Here is a 12,678-nt window from a genome sequence, read left to right on the forward strand (position 1 = left end):
AGTCACAGTGGCCAGGGCCTGGGTGGAAGGGGCCATCGTCTCATCATCTTCCTCAATTCCTGGGACAGTAGAAGCTAGAGAGTGTGGTCATTCCAGTCTGTGTGTCTCCACCTCTCTGCTTTTTTATCAAGGATTCAGAACAAGGCTCTGGACAGAGCAAGGAGCACAGACCAGGACCCATCGGCAACGAGCGTTCTCTGAAAAACAGAAAGGGCTCGGAGGGGGCCGAGCGGCTGCAAGGGGCTGTCGTCCCGCCTGTTAACGGGGTGGAGATTCACGTGGACTCCGTGCTGCCTGTGCCACCCATTGAATTTGGAGTCAGTCCAAAAGTGAGGCTTTGATTTGTTTTCTTGCTTGCTTTTTTTACTTTTTATTTTGGTACTTGGAGAGGCTGGGGGCTCAGATGGGATTGTCTCCTAGAAGGAATAGAAGGATGGGAGCCAAGCAGTCTTCCAGCGGCTAGAGTGTTGGTGTGGAGTCCTGCACATGGCCAGTGCTCTGTTGAGTTGCTTTAAAGATTGCTTCACTGACACCAGACAGGCCAGTGATCTTCCCTGTTTCTGTCAGGCCACCCAAGGGACAGGGAGAAAGAAGTGAGGCTGGCGTCCTGTCTCCTGTGCCGTGGGGAAAATCTGGCCATCTCGCTCATATGTGGCTCCAGTGAATGCTGCTCAGTGGAGTTTTTGAGTCGGGGAAACTGCATCACGTTAATGTATGCCTCTGGGGAATGTAGGGCCAGGAGGATCTCAGTGGGCTGTGTGGCCTTTTTTATTTTTTCAGGACTCCGATTTCAGCTTGCCACCTGGTTCTGCCTCTGGTCCTACTGGGAGTCCAGTTGTTAAACTTCAGGATGCCTTGGCCAGTAATGTAAGTCCACACTTCCACTTTTGGCTCCACTCACTGCTTGGGGCTGGCAGGCCCTGGGTGAAGGAGACAGCACATGTATTTCAGGCTGACCTGGGCTGGCACGTGACTCAGTTGCTAGCAGCTCCATGTCCTTAAAAGGTGCTTAAATGTTCCTGCCCAGGTTTTGTGACCTTCCAGTGGGGATCATACAGTTCCTAAGGGCTGGTTTATTTGGCTCTCTTTGGTTCCATTGTCTCCTCTGTGCCAGGTGCGAGCCCAGACTCAGGCTGCCTTTTCTGTGGCCAGGGGTAAGGGGCACAGATTGAGTAGGAGAGCCCTCCTCAGGAGGCCCCATCTCACCATCCAAGGGTCCCTGCCGCCTGCAATCTAACTGTTGTGATCCAGAAGACCTGCTGGCGCTCTACCATGGGCTCAGGAGCTGGCAGTTGCATCTGTTGTGGCCACTCGGGGCTGCAGCTGAGGCTGTCGCAGTGACATCTGGTTCACTGCTCTGTCCTCACCACCTGCAGGGGTGGGTGCTAGTGCATATGCTGAATGAACGAGTATCATTTGGGCAGCGTTTCCCAGAGGATTCCAAGGAATGTGAGTGCTGTACAATATTCATAGGTGTTGAATGAAAACAATGTTTTGGAAGTGCTGGGCTCTACGAGGTTCTTTACTCGAGAGTCTGCGGTCTCTGTCACATGCAGATGGACACCGGGGATCTGCAGGAAGCGGGGGCACTGTTGCATTTCCAGCCTCTGTTACCAGAGCCCTCTTTTTCAGTTTGCTGAGGGGCACAGCCTTCCCTGTCTGGCCCAGGGCATCTCCAGGCCAGGTGGCAGGTGCCTTCTGAACCAGATGTTTGTGTGCGGGCTGCCAGTCCATATTTATACTGCCGGGACATGGCTCTCCCTGTCTGGAGGGCACTATGGAGTGTGGATATGGGGGTGGCTCTCTGCAGACTTGTGTGGAGGAAACTGATGGAGGCAGCCATCTCCAGGAGATCAGTCATGGTCCTGGCTGCCATCAGTTTCATCTGGGTGGTCTTGGGTACATGTGGCCAATACTGAAGATGCATTTGGACAATTCATAGACACGGAGCTGTAGGTGCTTTTGGGAAAAGCCATGGATGGGTTTGGGCAAGTCATAGATACATTTGGACGAGCCTTGAGTGTGTTCAGGAGAGCCATGGATGGGTTTGGGCAAAGCCATCTCTGCACCTGTTTGTGTTCCATGGTTTCCTTTTCCTCCTCTCCAGGCAGGGTTAACACAGAGTATCCCCATCCTGCGGCGGGACCATCACATCCAGAGGGCCATCGGTCTCTCCCCAATGTCCTTCCCCACCGCCGACCTTACTCTGAAGGTAACACCAGCCCTGAGCTGGGTGAGGGCCCACCCAGTACCTTAGCTTACAAAGAGGCAGAAGGGAGGAGTCCCCGAACCCCTAAAGCTTAGATTGGCTCTGTCCACTGCCAGCGTGATAGTAATTTTCATCCCTCCCCCTCCCCTTGCTTCTGAAGATGGAGTCTGCGCGCAAGGCTTGGGAAAACTCCCCCAGTTTGCCGGAGCAGAGCTCTCCAGGCGGCGCTGGCTCAGGCATCCAGCCTCCATCCTCTGTGGGTGCCTCCAGCGGGGTCAACTACAGCTCCTTCGGTGGAGTGTCCATGCCACCCATGCCTGTGGCCTCTGTAGCACCTTCTGCTTCTATGCCAGGTATCTCATCCCCTGAGCAAGGCCTTGGGGTCCTTCTCCATTTATTATCAAGAAAAACGGATTAACAGCCCCGAATGTCACCTCCTGGCCTTGTCTTAAGTAGCATGTAGAAGTAGCAACTTGTTTTTAGGCCCAGTGGTCGTAGCTCCCATGTGCTGCAGGTAATGTGCACGTCCTGCTTCCCCACGCTGGGAAACAGAACTGGGGGATAACAGCGAGGCACTCCTGCCTACTGGTGACAGGAGCGAGCAAAGGCTTGACTTTGAGTCAGACCTGGGTCATGTGCTGGAGCCGTGTCGCCTCGGCTGGTGAGCAGCTCTTGCCGAGCCACAGTGTCCTCTCCTCTCTTACATGAAACTCCGTGGGGTGGCCACACCCGTGAGGCCAGGTCTTACCTGGAAAGGGCTTTGTATCAACAGAGCCCTCAGTCACTGGCAGCTACTTTTGTCCTGATTGCTGCCATCCTTATCGTGTGCCAGTGTCCCCAAGGGGAAGCGTGGGGGTTTTGAGGGCCCAGCTGCCAGTCTCAGTGATGTAATTCCAATAGATCCTTCTGACCCTCCACTGTGGACTCAATAGCAGGGAGATGAAGAGGACAGTGACTGAGAGACCAAGGCAGCCCTGGTTAAAGTAGAATGCCCCTTCGAGTGTCTGGGGTAGTTGGTGAGTGGGAGGTGGGAAGGGTAGGCCAGAGCCCACCTGCCTCCTCCCTCCTCCTAGGTCTGACGCTGCACCCTCCCTACGTTCCCTGAGGTGCGTGCCAGGCGTGTTGTGAGCAGGCGTGTGCTTCCGGCACACAGGGAACCTAGCAGCCTCTGTACACACGCCCTCGTCCCCACTGAGTCCCCTGGGTAGAGCAGACCTGTAGACTGTTTCCCTCAGGGACATTGAGAAGTAGTGAGGCTTGATCCTCTTCTACGTCCCTTTTGCCGCTCTGTTTCCAGGCAGCCACCTCCCGCCCCTGTACCTGGATGGCCATGTGTTTGCAAGTCAGCCCCGGCTGGTTCCTCAAACGATACCTCAGCAGCAGAGTTACCAACAGGTGACAGCAGCTAGCCAGGTGGCCTGGCTGGGGGTGGTGGGGAGGAGCCAGTGCAGGGCGGAATTGGCTTGCTCATCTATTTCTCATTGTCTGTCTGGTTTTCCATCCCCCTCACATGTGGTGACCAGCACCTGGCCCGCCACGGCAGCCAGGAGGCATTTGTTAAGCGAATAATCGAGACAGGGAAGAGGAGTGGAGTTGGCTGCTCCAGACTCTGCTTAGTTTTCCTTTCTCAAAGTTCTCCCTCCTGTGTCCTAGCCGGGGAATTAGCTAAAATGGAATTTTCTTTGGTGATCAGGTATCCTTCTGATGAAGAGAAGAAAGGCCTAAACTCCCAGGCATGGATGCATTAGAAAGAGGTAGTCTTAGAAATGAGCAGGCGTTGGTTATTTATGCAGGACTGGCATACTTTCTGTGCTGCCAAGGGGTGATTTTTGGAAGTCTCCCCTCTAATGCTGGTGCTGGGCCTTTGGGATGGTCTAGCCGCCCCTCAGACCCATGTGCCTCCACAGCCACGACAGTGGACTTCCAGGCAGAATCTGCTCCAAGTGCAGGCTTGCTGATGGAGGATGTGGCCTCTGCTGACCTCTTTTTAAAAACATGTTCTTAACTGCTGTATTGTTTGGTTACCAAGATTTTGGTTCTTGCATAACTGGGTCAGACTGCATGTATCTTTCTTTTTGTGCATTGTTAAATTCAGCGTTATGTTTTTGGAACTCACCTCTGTTGACGTATGTGCTAGGATCCATTTTTGTTGCTGTGTAGAATTCCAGGGTAGGGATATGCTGTGGTTTGGGGTTGCTACCAGTTTTTCATTATAGGCTTTATCCCAATAGCAAGGGAAGCCCAGGAATGACATGCTGGCATTTGAATTTTGGGCAGTGTTCCAGCAGCCATGTGGAGAGGGGCAGGGGAGGTGGGAGGGGAAGAACCACCTGGATGGGCCTTGCGGTTACCTCCCCGACCCCGTTTTCCCGTTCACAGGCCGCCGCTGCCCAGCAGATCCCGATCTCCCTTCACACATCTCTGCAGGCACAAGCTCAGCTTGGACTGAGGGGTGGGCTTCCTGTGTCCCAGTCCCAGGAGATCTTCAGCTCCTTGCAGCCCTTCAGGTGAGCTCATGTACCAGCTTGCGGAGCTGGCAGCTCACAGCCAGGGCCTTGGCCCTGTGTGCAGCCTTCGTCCTGCAGCTGTTTGGTGCTTGTCTGCTTTGGGGCCAGTGGGGCGGGGAGGGGTGGGAGTTTGCTCTGAATCACTCTTCAGTCCGTTGTTAACTGTGCTCTAGGAGAGGCCTGGGGCGAGCTGATATGTGGTGGGCCGTGTTTTGCTTTTCCATGTCATCTTGCCTCCTTTCCTTGCTCCTTCCTCCTCCTCTCCCCTTGACTCCCTGTCTCCTCCCCACCGCGGGCTTCTCCGTCAGTGTGGCTGCCAGTCATTGTGGCTGATGTCCTGTGCCTCGTACAGCCTGGATGTCTTCACTTGTTTAATCCAGCAGCATCAGCGCCATCTAGGAGCTTGTTCTCAGGCCCCATCCTGGACCCTCTGAGTCGCGCTCTGGGGGTGGGGCCGGGGATCTGTGGTTTAGCAAGCTCTCCGGGGATCTCTGAAGGGTGGGACCAGATCCGCAGCTGGACTCATCCACCTGATCCCGACCATCTGTCTGGCTTTTGCAGATCTCAGGTGTACATGCACCCCAGCCTGTCACCGCCCAGCACCATGATCCTCTCTGGGGGCACAGCCTTGAAGCCTCCATACTCGGCGTTCCCAGGCATGCAGCCCTTGGAGATGGTGAAGCCGCAGTCTGGCTCACCCTACCAGCCCATGAGCGGGAACCAAGCCCTGGTCTACGAGGGCCAGCTCAGCCAGGCTGCTGGCCTGGGTGCCTCCCAGATGTTGGACTCCCAGCTCCCACAGGTCAGGAATTCAGTCACTCTACCCAAAGCCCTAGGCTTCTTTCCTTCACGACCTTGCCTTTTCTTTTCACCCGCCTCTCAGTGTGTGCTGGCCTATCGTGCTGTTGGTTGGTAGCCACCGTGCCCATTCCTCAGCGTGCAGGAAATCAGCCTCTTCTGAGTAGCCCCATCACCTTTTTTTTTTTTTGGACAGAGTCTCGCTCTGTTGCCTAGGCTGGAGTGCAGTGGCATGATCTCGGCTCACTACAACCTCTGTCTCCCACATTCAGGCGATGCTCCTGCCTCAGCCTCCTGAGTAGCTGGGACTACAAGTGTGTGCCACTGTGCCTGGCTAATTTTTGTATTAGTAGAGATGGGGTTTCACCATGTTGGCCAGGCTGGTCTCGAACCCCTGACCTCAAAGTGATCTGCCCGCCTTGGCCTCCCAAAGGGCTGGGATGACAGGCGTGAGCCACCACCCCTGGCCCCTCATCCATCTCTTTATTCTTGAGACCTGGCTGTCCCCTAAGCACTGCCTGCTCCTGCAGCCCCCAGACGGGGGCTCCTTCCTTTCTCCCTGCCCTTGTGCAGTAGGGTGTGGAATGGGTTAAGAGTCCTCTTTGTGTAGTTGTTGATGCTTCTAGACTCCTCTTCTTCCTTCCTCCCTGAAACGCCAGCTTTGAAGCCCACACCATAGACTGTGCCTGACAAGCCCTTCACTCTGCTATGGTGCCATCACCACATCCAGTGTCTGCTGAGAAATCTTCCTCTCCGTCAACCTGTGGGCAGTATTTGGCACCTTTGAAGGTCACCCTCCTTGTCTGGTCTGGCTTGCAGTCTGTCTCCACTCTCCTGTTCCAGTTCCTAGTGGTTTTGATGTCTGCAGAGATGACCCCGGGTCTCTGTGCCATGGACCCTGTCCATGCAGTTTGTGCCCTCCTCGCCACTGGTGCCCTTGTTCACATGGGCCCCTGCTCTGTGCACTCCTGTCTAGGCTTGGCTGCTCCCAGTAGCTGTGGCTCTCGCATAATCTCAACTCTCAGTGTCCCTCTCAGTTGTCACCTCTGGCTTTTTCAATTCACTCCCTCTAGTGACCCAACTCCAAAATTCTTTTTTTTTTTTTTTTTTGAGATGGAGTTTCGCTCTGTTGCCCAGGCTGGAGTGCAGTGGCGCAATCTCGGCTCACTGCAACCTCTCTGTCTCCTGGGTTCAAGCAATTATCGTGCCTCAGCCTCCCGAGTAGCTGGGATTACAGGCGCCCACCACCCACCGGCTAATTTTTGTATTTTTAGTAGAGATGGGGGTTTCACCATGTCAGGCTGATCTCGAACTGCTGACCTCAGTGAGCCACCCACCTTGGCCTCCCAAAGTGCTGGGATTACAGGTGTTAGCCACCACACCCAGTCTCTGCCACCCATGTTTTTGTCATCCTCCCCCTTGGCCTGGCTTCTTCCTCCCCATCAGCAGATCTGCCGAGCCACATGGCCTTTGCATTTCATCCAAGCTGTGGCTCCCAGTCAACCCCCACCCTCCTAGCAGCTTTTCAGACTTGCATCTTGCCCCTCGCTGCCTCCCACCCATGACCTCCCTTTCTGTGTCACCCAGGAAACAGGAGCAGTGACAGTCTCCAAGCCCCTGTGGCCACATCCCTGCCTAGGTGCTGCCTGTGCCCCTGGGGGGCCCTGCCCCAGCACATCTCCCTCTCTTTCATGCATCAGATATCCCTTCCCGTCAGTACACAGACGAGCTGCAGTGCTGACCCCGTAATCCCGCCCCCCACACCCCTCGAACCACTTTCTTCACCCAGTTTCCAGGCCGTCGCTCCTGGCTTTCCTGCTGCCTCAGGCCTCCTCCTCAGTCTCCTTTGCTGTCCCCTCTCCTTCCCAGTCTGTAATGGTCAGCATGCCCGTGGGCCCTGCTTTGGGTGTGTTTCAAGAGTCATGGCTCTAAATTCCTTCATCTTCTCCTCACTCCCAAATGGACATCTTTAGCTCAGATCTGTCCCTGGAATTGAATCTCAAATCCAATGGACTTTCCAGCATGTCTGCTATGGTGTCTTATGGCATCTCAAGACTCATCATATTCAAAACTCGATTTTCCTCCCGGTCCTTCTGCTTGTCCAGTCCACATCCTCCTTGGCTCCCTGCTCCCCCTCACCTCACCCCCTTACCCTTCAGCAGGCCTGTCAGCTCTGGCTTTAAAAGGATTCAGAATCCAGCTGTGTCTCATCCCCTCCACACCCCTGCATGCTGTCCAGCTCCTGTAGGGACTCCTACCTGGCCTCCCTGCAAGTCAGATCATACCCCAAGTCAGCACTCTATAAATGGCAGCATCTTCCCATCATTTTCATCCTGCACCATTTTGGTGCTCCAAGGAGGAGCATGGTGTTTTGCGGCTCTGGCCACCACAAGTCTCAGTGATGTAATTCCAATAGATCCTTCTGACCCTCCACTGTGGACTCAATAGCAGGGAGATGAAGAGGACAGTGACTGAGAGACCAAAAGTGGCCCAGCCCCCCTACCCCATCCTGTTCCCCTGTCCTTACAGTCTCTGGGCCCACATCCCCACCTCGCATATCTTGTTCTAGTTAGTTAGGCCCTGCAGCTACCCTGTTCTCCTGTCAGCATGCTTCAAAGGACCCCCACAGTCTGGAATCCAGCCCAGTCTTGTTTTTACCACCACTTGATGCAAAACAGTAAGAGTCTTGAACGTGTGTGCTGTACAAAGGAATGCAGAGATATACGTCCGATGCAGCTTTCATCTTTTGGGACTTGGCTTCGCCATTACTTCTGACTTTCCTCACTCGTCCTCTCCTTGCCCACCCCGCCCCGTGTGCACCCATAAATCTGGTGTGCACCCACAGATCCTATGCCGCTCTGCATCCCGAGTGTCCTGCAGCTGTGTCCAGTGTGTGACACACTATCCTGGCAGTGTGCAGGCCCATGTTGGACAGGGCCCTGCCGCTTCCTTGGCACCTTGTATGCTTTCAGTAAGCACTTGCTGGACAAAGGCAGAAAGGGCTGAAGATAGACGCAGCCCTTAGCAGAGATGTGGATGAGACACACTTAACGCTGTTAGTTCCCATGCCTGCAGCCAGCTTAGTCTTGCCCGTTTTCTCACCACCTACTCTATTCCAGCAAGAAGACGTGCCTCTGCCATCGAAGGTGTGAAATCCTGGGCGATCTCTCCTGTGCTGCAGTAGAAATTAGAGCATGTCCTGCTTTATGCAGGCTTTGCTTTAGTTCTTCTGAAGTGTATGAATCTGAAGTGCATGTGCGGTCGCTCTTTGGTGCGTTTGGGGTTTCTCCATAGCATCATTCCCCCTCCTGACTGTCATTGTCGCCCAGCAGCTGACCATGCCACTGCCTCGGTACGGCTCCGGGCAGCAGCCACTGATCCTGCCCCAGTCTATTCAGCTGCCACCTGGGCAGAGCCTCTCCGTTGGGGCCCCCCGAAGGATTCCTCCGCCCGGGTCCCAGCCGCCAGTCCTGAACACCAGCAGAGAGGTAAGGGGACCCCATCTGCCTCTGACCCTAGGGAGGGGGCCTTGTGTCACCAACTTTTTCTAGCAAGCTAAGTACCCCTGTGTGGTAGAAAGAGCCAGTGGCGTGGGACTGCCAGGGCAGAAAGGAAGGTGACCATGTGTGGGGCCATCACAGAGGCAGGTCCTGGGGACTCTGAACATGTCGAGGGCTGAGGGCCAGGAATCAGCATTCCTCCCCAGCTCCCCAGGAGGCCCTGCTATGGACGGCCATGTTTCATTGGCTCTCCCACTTCACTTTAAAAAGAACAAAATATTGTGATGGTTCTTGCTTCTAAGAAGAAGCCCTCTTGAGTCTGGCTTAGAGGGAAAGGGCTTGCAGATTTCTCTAGAACAGGGGTCCCCAGTCCCCGGGCTGCAGAGCTGTACTGGTCTGTGGGAAAATTGTCTTCCATGAAACTGGGCCCTGGTGCCAAAAACCACTGCTCTATAAGATGCCTCCCTGGGAATTCCCATGGCCCTCACCACCTCTGCCCTGGGTTGTTCAGTAAGTGTGTGGTCCAGCTGTCTCCAGGGCCTCAAATGACAGCTTGTTCCTGCTTGGTCTCTCTAGCCCTCTCAGATGGAGATGAAAGGCTTCCACTTTGCCGACAGTAAACAGAATGTCCCTTCAGGAGGCCCCGTGCCATCGCCACAGACCTACAGGTAAAGCCACTCCCTGGGGACTGCGTGCTGTGTAGCTGAGCAGTTGCCAGAGCTGCGGCCCAGTGACTCAGAAGAATCTGGGCCCAGGGAGAGCCGCCAGAGACCTGGTCCCTCTATGGGCCATGTGTCACTGTGGTGTTTCAGCACTGGGATGCACTTGTGTTCCAGTTAAATTTGGGGGAGTGAGGAGTCAGGAGAGTGGTTTTGGTTTTAATCATTATAATAAGATGCTCTGGATTGGGGAGCTTTCTGGAAAGGTAGGAAAAGGAACGGCTGACATTTAGTAGGCATCAGGACTGACGTGACTTCCCATTAGATCCTAAAAACAGGACCCACTGGCCACAGGGCTGCATCCTGGCAAGGGGAGGAGCGTGGCCTTTCCCAGCGTCTCTTTCCTCAGACTTGCCCTATGACCCCTGCCAGGGGACTTTTTATTGCTGGGCTTATGGGGCCATTCCTTCCATGCTACAAACCAGCACCCTCTTTTTGCTTCCTTTGTGTCTGTCTCCACCTCCAGCAACTGTCTCAGGTCCCCTTAGCTGGATACTCAGGTGGCTCTGTCGGATGTTGGCGAGAGCCTCTGGTCCACTGCCTTTTCTGCCCGTGCTGGTGTGTGAAGGCAGCACGCTCTGGCCCTGGGCTCCGAGGGCTTGTACAGTCCACCCTTGTTACATGTGGGAGATTCCTGAGACCCCTCTGTGTTTACAAATGAGTGAAACAGACCTGCCTGACCCATGGTGCCCTGTGAGGTTAACACCATCGCTGCAGACGCCATGAGGTATCCCCACGACTACACAGGTACTTGTGGGCCTGAGGAGCGCTCTGCAAGCCGGGCCCCCATGGTCTGCAAGTTGCTCCAGCTGCACCCCCTCTGCCTTGCTGCCCTCCCTCTGCCCCACCGCCCTTTGCCTGTCCTCCATCACAGCATTCCACTCTTGTACCTTCATTTCCAGAGAAAGGGGTTTTTGTAGATTTTCCTCCCATTCCATCTTTTCTGTTCTTATTTTCACTCTCCTGGCTTCATTTATTTCTGTTTTTAGTACGTTTCGTTTTCCTACCATGTCTGTCACATAGACCAAAACATCAGGACTGTGTGAAAAAGATAGCTGGACAGCACCGACCATGGAGCGGAACTGGAAGGAGGAAGGCGGCTGCAGGTCTCAGCAGACGCTGTCCCGCTGCTGCCACAGGCAGATTCCAGCAGCCTCTGGCTACAGAGCCTTCCTCAAAAAGCAAAACCCAGAGACAGAGCCTCACGGGACAAGAGTCGCCTGTGTCTATGTAGTTGTAGGAATGAATGGCAGCAGATTATTCTTTGGAGCATATTTAGAAAGTGGAAGCCTTAAACTAGTAGCTTTGTTTCTATGGTGTTTTAGGGGGGTTGGGGAAATTGCTATAATTGTATAAAGCAGTGTTTGCCAAAGTGTTCTGGAAATAGAGCTGCTGAGATGTGCGCTGCAAAAACAAGGGTTCCCTGGTCAGGTCCTTGGGGGAGTGCTGTCCCCAGGGTGGCCTGCTGGGGAGGGTACTCACCACACAGGCTGAGCGGGCCTAGGTTGAGAGTCCTGTTGAACTCTGCACACGGCACTTAGGCTTTTTGACCGCAGACTTTTTTTTTTTCCACGTAGCACCTAATTAACATCCCTGGGAACTAACTAGTGGTCAGTGGAACACATTTAGAAGCATGTTGTACATTTTGGTTCCCCCATCCCCTTTTCTGAAAAGTGAAGACTAGAACAATACTCGGCACAGTTCTGGCTCAGCGTCAGGCTTCTAGGCCTTTTGTCTGGGGCACTGCATCGTGTTGGTCCAGACCCTGAGACGGCCAGTGTCGCTTTCTGCACAGCAGGACAGCCATGCCCATCTGTACAGGGCCTCAGCCTCCCTCTCTTGCGGTGCGTCTCCTTGAGCTCTGTCCTGGAGGTGCCAGGGTGGTCAGTGACAGCCACCCCCTCACCCTTCTGCGTTCTGGGCTGTCTTAGGTCTGTGGTTGTTTTCCATCCAAGAGATCCACGGACCGTCCCGAGTGAGCGCCTCTGGCCGCAGGCCCTTCCTTCCTTGTGCCTCCTCCATGTGCTAGGCTTTGACTCCATTTCTGTGGTGACACGTTGTGTATTCTCAACCCCTGCCTTTGGTTTTTTCAGGCCTAGCTCTGCTAGCCCCAGTGGGAAGCCCTCTGGATCAGCAGTTAACATGGGCTCTGTGCAGGGACACTACGTGCAACAGGTAGAAGATGGCTTTCCAGACCCTTCAGCCCTGGACACTTAGGCCCGTCTCCAAGCGCCAAAAGAGAAGGGACTGTCCAACCTATCTGAGCGCCCCCTGTCTAAAGACAGCCATGCCCTAGCGGTTAGAGCACAGAACCGGGAGCTGGGCCGCCCGCGTCCCTCCTGGCGAAGGCATTTCTCCTCTTGACGGGCGTCTGGATCCTTCCTTGTCCTGCAGAGAAGGGAGGATGCTGATTCCTCTGAGGAGGTGGTGCTGGAAGGTGGACCAGCCCTGGCAGGTCGGGGCTGAGGCGCCCTGGGAGACTCGGTTAGGTTTGGGGGTCGGCTTTAGGAGCCGGGGTGCGCGCGCTGGTTCTAGTCAGTGGTGTGTCTCATCTTTGTCTTGGCTGGGTGGGAGCACAGGTGAAATTAAGTTTTCCCATTTTATAATGAAAAGGACATCGCAGTGTCTTTTCCTGCACGCACTATTCTCTTCTCTATTCTCTAAAACGTGCTGGGGCTCAGAGCTTAAGCCCCTCAGACGTGGGTTTTTAATCAGTCACTGTGCCTGGCTGGTAGAGATGGGAAGTGATTGCTCTCATTGGTTCCCCTAGGGGTCATGAAAGTTGTGTGGAATGAGCTTCTAAAGCTTTCTTCCAGAGTTCAGACCTGGTGGGGGGCAGATGCGCTGGCTGCTCTGTGACTTCCCCACCCCACTCCCCGTGTAGAGCCACAGACCAGGGGAGCCCTGACTAGGAATGGGGCCCCAGGGAAAGGTTACAGAGTGGG

The 12,678-nt window shown here is 54.6% G+C and overlaps 1 protein-coding gene and 2 non-coding genes across 7 annotated transcripts in view, besides 1 other annotated feature; all 3 read left to right on the forward strand.

Annotated features, from left to right (window-relative positions):
- The window catches only part of PRRC2B (proline rich coiled-coil 2B), a 126,543-nt gene that overhangs the window by 108,928 nt on the left and 4,937 nt on the right, over positions 1-12,678 (forward strand). For 3 of the 5 annotated variants that reach the window (NM_001384818.1, NM_013318.4, NM_001384821.1), the window contains exons 22-31: positions 132-329; positions 781-867; positions 2,108-2,212; positions 2,370-2,562; positions 3,507-3,604; positions 4,589-4,716; positions 5,278-5,518; positions 8,847-9,002; positions 9,591-9,682; positions 11,827-11,908. In NM_001384818.1, coding sequence (NP_001371747.1) covers positions 132-329; positions 781-867; positions 2,108-2,212; positions 2,370-2,562; positions 3,507-3,604; positions 4,589-4,716; positions 5,278-5,518; positions 8,847-9,002; positions 9,591-9,682; positions 11,827-11,908 — 1,380 coding nt within the window. The remainder of the gene's footprint in view (positions 1-131; positions 330-780; positions 868-2,107; positions 2,213-2,369; positions 2,563-3,506; positions 3,605-4,588; positions 4,717-5,277; positions 5,519-8,846; positions 9,003-9,590; positions 9,683-11,826; positions 11,909-12,678) is intronic. The other 2 variants (NM_001384822.1, NM_001384823.1) reach the window with 1 other exon arrangement.
- Positions 3,087-3,172, forward strand: SNORD62A (small nucleolar RNA, C/D box 62A). Its single transcript, NR_002914.1, has one exon. It is a non-coding gene; the product is annotated as a small nucleolar RNA, C/D box 62A (small nucleolar RNA).
- Positions 6,619-7,119: an enhancer, noted in NCBI's record as "H3K4me1 hESC enhancer chr9:134364584-134365084 (GRCh37/hg19 assembly coordinates)". NCBI's record gives its function as "activates a minimal SCP1, AML or CMV promoter by ChIP-STARR-seq in naive and primed H9 embryonic stem cells {active_cell/tissue: H9 hESC(naive and primed)}" and the evidence as "EXISTENCE:reporter gene assay evidence [ECO:0000049][PMID:30033119]".
- On the forward strand, positions 7,908-7,993 carry SNORD62B (small nucleolar RNA, C/D box 62B). Its single transcript, NR_003050.1, has one exon. It is a non-coding gene; the product is annotated as a small nucleolar RNA, C/D box 62B (small nucleolar RNA).

This window comes from Homo sapiens, chromosome 9 (genome assembly GCF_000001405.40).
Source record: "Homo sapiens chromosome 9, GRCh38.p14 Primary Assembly".
Lineage (NCBI taxonomy): Eukaryota > Metazoa > Chordata > Mammalia > Primates > Hominidae > Homo > Homo sapiens.